The sequence below is a fragment of the Homo sapiens genome, chromosome 1, assembly GCF_000001405.40.
Source record: "Homo sapiens chromosome 1, GRCh38.p14 Primary Assembly".
Classification (NCBI taxonomy): domain Eukaryota; kingdom Metazoa; phylum Chordata; class Mammalia; order Primates; family Hominidae; genus Homo; species Homo sapiens.
Window position 1 is genome coordinate 149,417,935 of NC_000001.11, and position 14,121 is coordinate 149,432,055.

Here is a 14,121-nt window from a genome sequence, read left to right on the forward strand (position 1 = left end):
GATATGGCTGGCTATCTTCTGGAACTCACATTAGAGTTACTCCTTGAGAGTAAAGTCTTGTATTTTCTGAAGGTTGCTGCTTTTGGGGTATTTTCCGTGGAGGTGGGTGGGCACACACAAAAACTCACTGTGCTCAAATTTATAAACTTGTTCTTCTTAACAATTTTAAAGCCAGATTACATTGGATTGGGGGAGGGGAGGATACTAGATTTATTTAGTGTTTTTTAATATAAAACTTTGTATTTGAAACTTTATGTGGTAACATATATTTAGGCTCATAGCCAAAGTGATTACAATGCATTGGTTTTAATATTTTCAGTGAGGTAATGTGTGCTTTAGTGGGGAGGAGGAGAAATATTATTTAATCACCAGCACTACACTAATAACCACATTTACTAAATCCTTTGTCCCTTTGCTTGAACTGAGGGTTCCTTGCTTTTATACTGGTTTTCCAAAGGACTTAATCTTGTTAATGTGATGAGGTGATGATGGGAAGGACATTCCCACTGGGCCCGAAGTGGTGAAACTGGTAAAACTCCCTTTGTAAGTCCCTCTTGTTCAACATGAGTGTCACTCCCATGTCCCTAAAGTAGAATGGAGTTTTATTGAAGAGAGAATTTTAAGAGTGATAAACAAAAGAGATGGAAATATCTCCTGTGCCAGGTCATTGTTACCATTAAAGACTAGAATAAACTGTAATTTTGCAGATTTTCTTTTTGTCTTATGGGAAATTAAAGACTTGGTTATCCTCTCTCGGAGGAAGATAGAAAACTACTGGGCCTGCTCATTAACAGTTTAGCTTGGCTGACATTTTTCAAGCACTTACCATGGTATTATAGCTGGGCTGAAGCTAGGTGGAGCAGACCTCACTTAGGTGTTGCCTAGCTCCAGAATCTGTCTTCTGGTGGAATTCCCTTAGGCTTCCAGACAGGAGTGGCAACAAAGCAGATGAAATGGAAGGTAGGCCAGGGCATCTGCTCATTCGCTCGCTCGCTTGCTCTTTCTCTCTTTCCCTTTTCTTTCCTTTTCTTTCCTTTCCTTTCTCTCTCTCCTTTCTTTCTTTTGCTTCCTTCCTCTCTCTTTCCCTTTCCCTTCCTCTCTCTCCTTTCTTTTTTTCTTTCTTTTTTTTCTTTTCTTTTCTTTCTTTTCTCTCTCTCTCTTTCTTTAGCAGTTTATTACTCATTTGTGAGAATCAGGGAAGCACTGGGCTCAAGAAAGCCAATACCCCTTCTAGGGCTTACCCCCCATTTTAAAATTTAATATATTGGAATTTATATTGTTTCTTTTGATCCGAGATCTTCAGGCTGAAGCTGGAGAGAAATCTTTTGACCTCTCTAGAACAAAGAAAGCCTTTATCAAGACAATGTAACTTTTTGAGTTTGCCAAATTAGGTGTTGCTGCAAATGGAGAAACCTAGAGTTCTCTTCTGTGCTTAAAGACACAAACATGGAAAGTTTTAAGTTCCAATATGGTCACTTAATATATACAAAATTTTCTGTCTTTGCTGTCTTTGTCATTCCAGCAACAACTAGATGAGCAAATAGAATGATTGTGAGCACTTGCAAACCAAATTGTGACTGTTAGTGTGTTGAGCTGCTTTTTTATTAAAATGACTGCTACAACTCTGCAGAAATCTGAGTAGTCTTGAAGATAAATTCTTGCTTGCATTTACAATAAAGAAAGAATATGAGTAATCAAAAGGCTGATGGAGTTGGAGGACTGGCGTTTTTAAGAGGAACTGATTTGGACATTGAGATTATCAGCTCCTCATCAAATATCATTAAGTACCCATTATTATTTTTTTCTGTTGACCAGGAGACCCAGGTTGTGTTGATGTGGGACATAGTTGTATGTCTGAAGAAACAAAGCAAGGGAGAATAAAATAAATAAAAATTGAAGTTCAGGAATATATATATATATATTTTTTTTTTTTTTTTTTTTTTTTTTCCTCAGGCAGAGTCTTGCTGTGTCGCCCAGGCTGGAGTGCAGTGGCACAATCTCGGCTCATTGCAAGCTCCGCCTCCCGGGTTCATGCCATTCTCCTGCCTCAGACTCCCTAGTAGCTGGGACTACAGGCACCCGCCACCATGCCCAGCTAATTTTTTTTTTGTACTTTTAGTAGAGATGGGGTTTCACCGTGTTAGCCAGGATGGTGTCGATCTCCTGACCTCGTGATCCGCCCACCTCGGCCTCCCAAAGTGCTGGGATTAAAGACATGAGCCACCGTGCCTGGCCGTTTAGGGCTATATTTTATGTTTTCTTCTCCCTTTGGTATTTAATAAAGATTTGATATTTTTCTATTATCTGCTTTCCTCTGTTCCAAGGTTTTTGGCCTCAGGTGTGTTCTCTGGAAATGGCAATGATAGGCATTTATAATCTCCATATTTAGATATTTCCCTCACAGTGCTAGTTTCTGAGCTTATTAGAACCTAATGTTAAATGACGAGTTAATGGGTGCAGCACACCAACATGGCACATGTATACATATGTAACAAACCTGCACGTTGTGCACATGTACCCTAAAACTTAAAGTATAATAATAAAAAAAAAGAAATATCCTGGCTATGAGTCAAGGGTTTAGGACCTTTTGAGGCACTTAGGTTTAGACAATTCTCAGTGATGTGTACAGGAATTTGGGTACAGGAATACTATTCACAGGTGAACAGAGTTTGATTTTGGCTGAAGGCATATTATTTGATCCAGATAATAATATAAAAATAATCCAAATGTTAGGACCTTAGCTTCTGCGAACCCTGACTTGAGAATAGTTAGCCATACATGTAGTTGGACTTTATGTAGGACTAACCAATCTCCTCTGCACTATTTTTGCACAGTACATTGATTATGGTATCCCTGATGACCTCTGTCCCCATCCTTGTGAGTAGCCTTCATTGCTACCACCCAAGGATGTTTTAAAAAGGCTATGAGGAAGGATGCATGTAGGGAAATCTGAGGTTGTTCTTTGGATTTTCCCTGTTTTGTTTTAGGAAGTATCCATGATTTTATATAATAATATGTAGCAATCTTAGGTTTTTCCATTTTCATTTTTAACATAATTTTGTTATTCATTCTGTTTGGGTGTCTACCTCTAAATTAACAAACATGAGAAATTGTGTACTCCATTTAAAAAGTGTCCTGAGCAATTTAAGCTAAAAGAATATGTTGTTTCTTTTGGGTGTATAGCAAGAAGATTATATATATTTATAAATTTTTTTCCAGCAAGTGTACTTAAAAGCATGTACTTAAAATTAAGGACTTAAAAAAACTAAGCTGTACTTAACAAAATAATCTTTAGAAAGCTTTAAGGCCGGGCGCGGTGGCTCACGCCTGTAATCCCAGCATCACGAGGTCAGGAGATCCAGACCATCCTGGCTAACACGGTGAAACCCTGTCTCTACTAAAAATACAAAAAAAATTAGCCGGATATGGTGGCGGGCACCTATAGTCCCAGCTACTCGGGAGGCTGAGGCAGGAGAATGGCGTGAACCCAGGAGGAGGAGCTTGCAGTGAGCTGAGATTGCGCCACTGCACTCCAGCCTGGGTGACAGAGCGAGACTCCATCTCAAAAAAAAAAAAAAAAAAAAAAGCTTTAAAAAGGGAGTTTACTAAAAGCACAGGAAATTGGTGACAGGCAAAATTTGTCTTGATAATAGTACAAATACAGATAGTGGAACAGAACAGATAATACAAGATATAAGACAAGACATGGAATAACACTTCATATTCACTTTCTTTGACCACTAAGCAGCACACAAATATATAGCACTTTTTGTAGAGAATAATTAAATTTCTAGATATGATACAGCTTCTTCCTCTCTGTTGGGTTTTATTACACTGAGATCCTGAACCTTTTGGACATGTAAACTGTGATCATGTTGGTCAGTGTCATTTGGATCTCGTTGGTGCTTATTGTTCTGCCGATGTGTATTAGTGAACCTACTCATGGGGAAGATAATACTATACAATGAATTTTCCCATTCAGTTGGAATTTTTTTATTACTCTGTTTTCTATGTTTTTCATTTAGATGTAAATTATTTTGGCTTCCATTCAACCTATTTCAGCTAGTTTTTACCATAATACACATGGCTTAAGATTTATAGGAGGCTAAGAGTGGAGAGTGTATCTTCATTCAAACAAATGGTAAGAAAGGAACTTTCAAAACTGTTTTAGTTTTGCAAAGATTAGAAAAGTACAATTCTACTTTCTCAACTTTTCATCCTTGTTAAAGGCCTGGAAATTTGCAGCATTTTTTTCTTTCTTATTTTACTTTTCTAATTTGTTACACAAAGTGAAATTCCACACATAAACATGCAAGCTGAAGGTTGGGTTTATTCATAGGTTTTGTCTTAATTATAGATATTTAGTTTATTGAATATCTTATTGAGTATTGAGTACCTGCTGTGGTCCAGGCATCTTCTTAGGTCCCAGGTGTACAAAGAGGAGCCAATTGTGGTTACTACCTCTATGGAATTTGCCTAGAAGTGGGAGAGAGAGAGATGAGTGAGCCAGCACTTATAATACATCTACCTAGGATAAAATGGGAGCACAGAAGAGGAACATCTGTATCAGTGGGTCTCTGACAGCTTCTTCAGGAAAATAATGCTTTATCTGTGATTTGAAATATAGTAGGAATTTAGCAAGATAGAGAAAAAGGAAAAGGAGGTAAAATATTTTTCAGGTAAAAGAATGTACATGGGTATAGAGGTGATCATTATTAGCAAATTGGCTACATCCTAATTTGTAAGTATTTGTGGATTTTTCAAACCTTATATTTCATGTAGAAGAGCTGAATGCATTAGTCTCATCTCCAAGATCCAGGTATTGAAATTTAACCCATGCATAAATTGAATTTTTTTCTGAAGTCTTTAATAAGAGAAAAATAAAAGGAAAAACTACACAGTGTATAGTAGATTTCAATATAGCACAGCAAACACTGATGAATTTTTTTTGCAATGAGTTCAATATTATAAAATAGAACAAAATTGGAATTTTTAAAACCAAAAATTATTCTAGATTTATCAGCTAACTGGAATGATTTTTTTATAGTATGAAAAGTCTATTAGTAATACAAAAAATATTCATTTATAAGTTGTTATCGTTGATTATATTTTCTTAAGGTATATTTTCAGTTTTTGAAAAGCAGTAATAATTTGCTATGACCCTATAGCCCAGTTCTTAATATCTGGATCTGATACTAGCATCTCTTAGGTAGAAAACACACTTTCTATATGATAATATCTGTAAAGAGCACATAAATCCTTGGAACACTATTAGGAAAACAAAATCGATTTATCTCTTATTGCTTTTTTTTGGGTTTTTTTTTTCCTTTTAATCAAGACAAATTTCAAGGAGGAAGACAGATGTTTCTCCGCTTCGTTTTTATTTAAATGTACCACTTGGGATTTGAAGCTTCCGCACTTCTTCTGTTTGTTTGGATTTTTTTTTCATGGCTTGGTCCCAAAAAATGGAATACAAAATTTAGAGAAAGTTTTGTTTGAAATTGCAGGGCGCTATGAGAATTATTGCAAATCCCTGATGTCTCTTTGTCTGCCCTCAATTCTCCTATTTTTGGTAATAATGCAGGCAGTCATTTTAGAAAACTTTGCTTTGTTCATTTTACTGAGCCTCTTCCAGAGGCCATGTGCCAGAATCAACAGCAGCCAACCACAGCCAAGATCCTAGGACGTAAACTCAGACTTCATCTCTCAAATATTGCTACTTGAAATTTGCATAAACGTTGAAGAAAAAGTTAAAAGAGCCTGTATAACTCCTCTTCATGTATTTTAGGAGCCTCAGACAGTCAAGACATTAAAATACCTTCCGATTGAGCAGTGGGTCTAAGCACAGATACCACACTGCAGATAGGGAGAAGGATATGAAAAAAATCATGTGAGATAGACGACAGAGGCTTATTTGAAGAAGCTACAAAGCAACAAGTAATGCCAGTTTAAAACGATTACATGTTAATGCAACAAGTAAAACACATTGAAGGCTGCTCAGATTACACTGGCTGAAGTACAGACTTAATTACTCATGTTAGAGATTCCTAAAACAAAGGGAGGCTTTTAAGCCAGTGATATGTAGCTGGTATGATACTGAAAAGCATTGGAAAACCTAGGTAAATGCCTAGAGGAAATTTTAAGGAAGATTCCATCAAGTCTGGATACCTTAGCCTTATCCTTAAATGAATAAATTTCTGAGGCGCTGGAACTGGTTAAAATCAATGGCAGCTTGTTCTGTTGTTTGCAGTTTTGATGTATAATTGGAGCTGATAAACCTGAATAAATAAAAGAGCCTTGTCTGGATTGAGTTACAGTTAGTGCTAAACATCAAGGGTTCCTATTGTATTTCTTAAAAGTTCTTTTTGGAGTGATTCCAAGATTGGTATTAAGAGGGTATGCCAAGGGTATATATTGGCAATTTTTATTTTGTTTGTATTTATCTTAGAGTCATTTGGTTAGGTCACATTCTCTCTGCCCCTACTCCCAACTTCTCATTAGATTGTAAGGACCATGAGGACAGAGATTGTTTGTTTTATTTGTGCTTAATTTTCATGCAGTGCCTAGTAGGGGACAATGCTGACAGTAGTTTCTTGACAAATATTAGTGGAACTGTATTAAAATTGAGTTTTTGCTCACATATATTGTTTATTTTACCTTTAGTGGATCACTTCTCCTTATGCCTTCAGTGCTATAGTTTTTTAAAAGAAGTATGTTAGTCTGTTTTGCATTGCTCTAAAGGAATACCTGAGGCTGAATAATTTATAAAGAAAAAAGGTTTATTTGGCTAATAGCTTTGCATATTGTACAAGAAGTTTAGAGCCAACATCTGCTTCTGGTGAGGGCCCAAAAAACTTTCATGGCTGAAGGTGAAGAGGGAGCAGGTATGTAACATGGCAAGAGAGGAGGGAGCAAGAGAGATGTCAGTCTCTTTCAAACAACCAGCTCACATGGTAGCGAGAACTCACTCATTACTGTGGGTGGGCACCAAGTTATTCATGAGAGATCTGCCCCCATAACCTGAACACCTCCCAGTAGGCCCCACCTTCAACATTGGGGATTACGTTTCAACGTGAGATTTGGAAGGGACAAAATAGCCAAACTGTATCAAGCACAAAGAAGATACAGAGATAGTCAATGGTGGAGCTAGTATTCAAACCCAGATTTGTCTGATTTCTGCATCCGTGCTTTCAACTGCTTAACTGCATTGCTTCAAATACTCAGAAAAGACGAAATGTTTTCCATATCCCAGGAACTTAAAAGTGAAAAAGCAGAGAGCTAGAAGACCATGTAGTGCTGAATTGAGAGTCATGAGTGTTACAAGGATAGGGGGTGGTGGCCCTGTGAGGACCAGAACCCTCCAGGGGAAGCTTTCTGGGTGAGGCAAGAGGTGAACTGGGCCTTGAAGGAATGGGTAGAATTTAGATAGTAATGAGGAAGGCAGAAATCAGTGGAAGCACAGACATGCGTGGAGGAATGGAACTGAGTTCAATGACGATCTGTTCAGGAAAGAGGGCATAAACTGGGCAGAGAATGCAGTGGAAGTGGTGGGGAGTAATACTGGGCACGTAAAGTAAGCTCTGATCTGGAAGGCCAGCATGGGAGCCTAGACTGGTTAAAGTAAGAAATGGCTTGTCCTTGGAAGAAAAAGTGTCAAACTTGGTACTGTGTGAAGGTACTGCACAGACCTCCCAACTGGTTCTTAGGAGAGCCAAACTGAGGCTAAGTTCTGAGAACTAAGTAAGAACTGACAGCCATTGTAGGTTAGAAAGTAGTGGGGCAACATGTTACAAGTAGTGCTTCTGGAAGGTTAGATGCGGTTAGAATAAAATCATTGCCATTTTGGGGAGCTGGGAAAATGGATGTCTTCAGTCTAGTCTAAAAAGGGATGACTTGAATAAGCTTATATAAGAAAGAAAAGAAAAACCTTTTTACTCACTGGACCATTTCATAATCTTGACTTTTTTCAAACATAAATCTGTGTCATTTTTCTTATTTAAAACAGCTGAGTAGTTTACTCTCCTACTTAGAGCTGTGATCCTTATCATGGGCTCTTGTGATCTAACCCCAGCCTGCCTCCCTGGCCTCTGTCCTTGCTTAATAACCTCTAGCCATATGAACCTGGAATACCAGTCTAATTCCCACTTCAAGGCTTTTACACTTGTTGTTTCCTCTGCCTGGGGTGCTATTCCCTCATATCTTCATGACACTTGTTCATTTACATTGTAGCTCAAAGCATACCTCCTCAGGGAGGCCTTTCCTAGACACTATCTGAGGTACACTCCTGCACCCCCAGCCTTCATGATTGCTTTTTATACATTACTGGGTTTTGTTTCCAATGGAACTTATCGCTTATTACTGTCCTAAATTATTTTATTTATTAATTTTTTAGCCACCTTTCTCTTATAGAAATAAGGTTCCTGAGGACAGGGAGTTTATTCTGTATACTACGGTATCCCTGACATCAGGGCTTGTGCCTGCCGATAGTAGATGCTTTCTAAATATGTTCTGAATATTAGATAGCTAGTTCCCAAATGCACTGCACTGAAAGTGTATGAAAATTGGAAATTGGCTTCTAGATTTTTGTATTATATTGCCAAATGATGGAGTGATGAGATTGAAATCTACTACTTCTTTTTGCCTTTTTTTTTTTTTTTTTTTTTTTGGTGGAGTAGAGGAGGGCCTGCACAAACAGCAGATACACACACAGTAAATAAGATTTATTTCAGCCAGCAAGTATTTATTGACATGAAAATTGGGGTTAAATGTGACTCTTTGTGAGTGACTAGTTTCTTGGAGTCTATTAAAGCATCAGTTTAAACATCAATTCTCTATGGTATGATTAATGTTTCTTTTTTTACTTTATAAGCATGAAGCTGCCTTCAATTTTATTGTTAAATTTAAGTGTTTTACATTGGAAAAAAGTAAATTGAATTTTGAAATGAGATCTGTCCCGGTCTCACTTTCATGGCTTCAGGTTATCAAAGTTTTAATTTCTCTTTGTATGGAAGATAATTATAGTATTCATTTTTGCTCCTGAGTAAAGCCACGAGTCTCAAGATTATTTTTCTTTTTTAAAAATTAGAATTGTCAATTTATAGTTGTATACATTTATAGGGTACAAAGTGATGTTATAATTTGCTAATACAATGTAGAACAATTAAAAGGTAGTTAGTATATCCTTCATCTCAAATATTTAACATTTTTTGAAATTTACTCTCTTAGCAATTTTGAAATGTATAATACCCTATTATTAACTATATTCACCACTCTATGCAATATATCTCAAACATATACAAAAAAATTCTTCTTGTGTAACTGTAGCTTTTTGTACCCATTGATCATCAGGCCCACAGCTTCCGTAACCACCATTTTCCTCTCTGCTTCTATGATTTTGATGGTTTTCAATTCTACGTATAAGTGAGAACATGCTGTATTTGTCTTCCTGTGCCTTATTTCACTTAGCATAATGTTCTCCAATTCTATCCATGTTGTCTCAAATGACAGAATTTATATCTAAAGGTTGAATAGTATTCCATTGTATGTATCTACCACAGCTTTTTTTTTTTTTTTTTTTTTTTTGAGATGGAGTCTCTCTCTGTCACTCAGGCTGGAGTGCAGTGGAGCAATCTCGGCTCACTGCAACCTCCGCCCCCCAGGTTCAAGTGATTCTCCTGCCTCAGCCTCCTGAGTAGCTGCGATTACTGGCGTGCTGTAATTTTTGTACTTTTAGTAGAGATGGGGTTTCATCATCTTGGCCAGGCTGGTCTTGAACTCCTGACCTCGTGATCCACCCGCCTCAGCCGCCCAAAGTGCTGGGATTATAGGCGTGAGCCACTGTGCCCGGCCTATCTACCACCTTTTATTTATCCATTCATCTGTTGATGGACACTTCCATAACTTGGTATGGGTGTACAGACATCTTTTCAATAAACTGATTTAAAATATCTGGGGTAAATACGCAGCAGTGGGATTACCAGATCATGTGGTGATTCTATTTTCAGTTTTTTGAGGAACGTCTGCACTGTTTTTCACAATGGTTGTACTAATTTACATTCCCATTAACAGAGTAGAAGGGTTCCATTTCTCCACATCCTGTTTATTCAGACGATATGTTATCATCTAAATCATCTAAGACCTCTATATTATATAGCTTTTGAGTATTTTTAAAAGTGGACACTCAAGCGTTCATATAGTCATAGTCAGTGTGTGGTTCCTCAGACCTGTGGTATCAACATCACCTGGGAATTTGTTAGGAATGCAGATTCCCAGGCTCCCTGCGGACTTAGTCAGAAATTGTGGGGGTCGAGTCTAACACTCTTTTTTAAAAAGCCCTCCAAGTGATTCCAATGCTTACTAAAGTTTGAGAACCGTGGCTCAGTAAATGCTAAAGGTTCAAGGTAGCATGATCCCACACATCAGCCAAGTGGCATTAATTATTAGCCTGGTAAGCCCACCTTCTTTTCAGTCACTGAGTTTGATTGGTTCACTAAGGCTAGGCTGTAAAGTTATTTGCTAGATTGATTGCTACATATTGACTTTGGGTTGTTTGTATTTCTCTGAACCTGTCACTGTAATGATTTGTCAGGACACTTAATAGGAACAGGCCGTGATTTTTGCACCCATGGCATTCTGAGTCATGGGTGGCTGGGTCACTATGTACTCCAGGTTTCTTCAGGCACTGGGCATGCCATTCATGTACTTATAAGGAGGGAGCTGTCGCTGGTGGATCACAGGGAACCTTTAGGGACATTTAGTTCGCTCTCAGCTTGGTACAGGTAGGGAAATTGAGCCCCCATGAAGTTGTGCTTTGCTTGCAGTTAGGGGTACAGACAGGATTTCAGGTCTCCTGAGTCCCTCCACTGCACCAGGATTCCTGCAGGGGGACAGAGCTACAGCTTTTTCTGTGCCTACAGGGCATTCCTTTCCTACTGTGACGGTTTTATTTATTTATTATTTTATTTAAAGAAAAAAAGTAAATAGAAAAAACCCCGGAAGTTCTCACTGAAACTAATAAAAGTGTCTAAAGAGAATGAAAAAATCAGTTTGAGAACTTTGGTATGGAGGAAATAACCTGACATTAACTGTTTTAATTATAGTTGTTGCATTGGGCTTATCAGTGTGGGAAGAGGGAGCATTTGAGCCTTACAGGGAAGTGGGATATGGACAACAAGATGACCCTCTTCCTGAATTTGCCTGTTTGGGCCTGCAGCCTGGTGACTCTTTGTGTGATCCCAACAGCTGTCATAGAGATGGGTTGGACTTTTACTGAGACCTGGGTCCTAGGCCCAGCACTGCCACCAGCTAGTGGTGCGATGCCCCATAAAGAGGCCACTTATTCTCTCTGGCCTCTACTATTGGTAAATGGGTATAATAATATCCACCCTGCCAATCCTGAGAAATTTCAGGTAGTGGGAAGCAGTGTATCTTGGTGGTTAAGGGCAGAGTCTCTGGATTCAAATTCTAGCTTTCTAACTCAGTGGCATGGCAGTAGGCAGGCCACTTATCCTCCCTGTTTTCTCACCTGAGAATGGGTATAATGAAATTTACTTCTAAGGGTTGTTGTGAAGATTGAATTAGTTAGCTAATTTATGTAAAGTACTTAGGATAGTGCCTGGTATTTAGTAAGTTCTATGTGTTAGCCTATTATTATTACTATTACCATTTAAAAATATTATTTCAAGGATGGGATGCATTTTCTGTAAACATGTTCTCAAATGATTCTACTACTGGATACAATACTAGGCTTTTATGCAGTAATTGTTGGTGGAGGAGTTGTTCTGACATCCAGCTTGCACCTGGGCTACTGGTTTCGTGGCCAGGGATGGCCAGGCCTAGCGTCTCTGATCTTGCACAATTTATGCATAGAGTGGTGTGGGTAGAGGAAACTTGGAGGGGGGAACTTCTCAGTTTTGCTTTCAGGTATTTATACATTAACTATCATAAGAGATGGACATCTTAATAACTTCCAAGAAAGAGTTCATGAGCTTCAATTTGATATTTATTGTTTGACTAGGTTTCTTTCTGTCTTACCTTTCCAGTTGTTAGGATTCTTGATATGTATTTTGGTGATGAAAATTTCAACTCTAAAAGCTAAACAATCAAGATATTGTAATTATCCAGCAAGTGATTGGCAGATTTCGAGTAGACTTCTTCCATTCTTGGCTGAAATCAATGAAAATGTCTACTATTGCTGTTGTTTTTGTTCTTTTCTCTGAAAAGTCTGTTTTTGGGAGGGCCTGAGATGGTAAAGTGCCTTTTTATTGTCTCTTAAAGGGAATGGGGGAATCAACAGTTTGAGAATTTTTGTTTTATCTGTATGTATAAAATTGCCTTCTCCTTTTATTTCTTTTGATACTCTCTCTGCAGTCTCTATTCATGATCTACTCCCCATCTTTTTATGGGCCCCTTAAAGCTAGAGATTATGTTTATTCGTTTATTTATGTATTCCATTTCTCCTTTTTTCTGGATCCTAATTTTGTGCCTGGTGCATACTAGGCTCTCAATTTTAGTTTGTCGAATTACTGTTATTGCTGTTTCTGATTACTTCTTGAAGCAGTCCGTTTTAAAACTTCACCTGAAGGCTAAGTAATTCATCAGTATAATGGTGATCTATTATTTATCTAGCATTTTCCTAAACACTCATTGATGAATCCTTATAATACTCATCTGAAGTATCTAAATCCCAAGATGATGTGTCATGTCATAGATGGTATGGCTTTAATTTTTAATTGGGAGATGGAGATGTAACAGCTGGAGATACTGAAACACAGAGAAATAAGAGCATCATTGAAGACCACAAACGTGGTTATTGTTGGAAGATAGTTTTGGGATGGGCTTCTGTGCTAGAAGCCAAAACATAAAAAACTGATTAAAACTCTAAAAAGAAACCCAGATTAGGTGGGAATGAATGCTGATCTGGATTGGATTACACTTCTTTGGTGTCTGAGGGTTATGATTAGTGACTTACTTCTAATGTGCATTTGTTTTTATTTTTAGCATTGCAGTGTCGAGATGGCTATGAACCCTGTGTAAATGAAGGAATGTGTGTTACCTACCACAATGGCACAGGATACTGCAAGTAAGTTTTTCTCTTCATATATTTTCTTTTTGCGATAGAACACTGGACAAGATTTGATTCTACTCCTCTATTTTTAATGCTTCTGTGGAATGTTACTGGTTCTTGAGCTTTCCTGGTACAGATTTTGGTTGGGGGTGAGGATGGAAGGATGTGGATGCCAGATAATTGGCTAATAAGAACTTCTTACTATCTTACTGTTATCTTTCTCACTATGAAAAAGACTTTTCAGTGAGTGGCTAGTTAATGTATATGGGGTAGACCAGGCATGGTGGCTCATGCTGGTAATCCCAGCACTTCAGGAGGCTGAGTTGGGCGAATCACGAGGTCAGGAGTTCAAGACCAGCCTGGCCAACATAGTGAAACCCTATCTCTACTAAAAATACAAAAATTAGCCGGGTGTGGTGGCGCATGCCTGGAGTCCCAGCTACTCGGGAGGCTGAGGCAGGAGAATGACTTGAACCCAGGAGGCGGAGGTTGCAGTGAGCTGAGACCACATCATTGCACTCTAGCCTGGGTGACAGAGCAAGACTCCGTCTCAAAAAGAAATAAAAAAAAATAAAAAAATGTATATTAGATTCCCTTGTGTTTTTCAGATTAAGGAATACTCTTAGAGTCTCCCCTTAACATGTTACCTATTATCTTGTTTTTAAGTAAAACCAAATAGATATCAACTTTAATATTCGGCCCAGTATATGTGAATATTATATTCATATTTTTTTCTAGTGTAAAAAATCTAATTCTGAAAGTGAGACAGTGAGAGAGGAAGATGTGTGCATATGTGTAGATTGAGGGGGAGCAGGGGCTTTGGGTGTGTATTATTATATGGGGATAAAAGAGTAAGGATGAAGGAAAATGTAGGCTAGTTCTTGGCTTAAGAGCATTTTTTTTTCCTTTTTCTCCAACCATCTACTCTAGCCAAGACGTTTTGTTTGTTTGAGGAAGGCTGTGAGATAATTTCATAATAGCTTTTCTAGGTTTCCTGCAAATAATTTTTTTTCTTCTGCCTCAATTGAAAATTTTTAAGAGGAATATGTATCCAT

At 38.0% G+C, this 14,121-nt stretch overlaps 1 protein-coding gene across 2 annotated transcripts in view; it reads left to right on the plus strand.

The window, feature by feature from the left end:
• Nucleotides 1–14,121, plus strand: part of NOTCH2NLC (notch 2 N-terminal like C) — an 81,213-nt gene that overhangs the window by 27,314 nt on the left and 39,778 nt on the right. The window contains exon 2 of one of the 2 annotated variants that reach the window (NM_001364012.2): nt 13,000–13,081. In NM_001364012.2, coding sequence (NP_001350941.1) covers nt 13,044–13,081 — 38 coding nt within the window. In that variant the 5' untranslated portion in view covers nt 13,000–13,043. The remainder of the gene's footprint in view (nt 1–12,999; nt 13,082–14,121) is intronic. The other variant, NM_001364013.2, reaches the window with a different exon arrangement.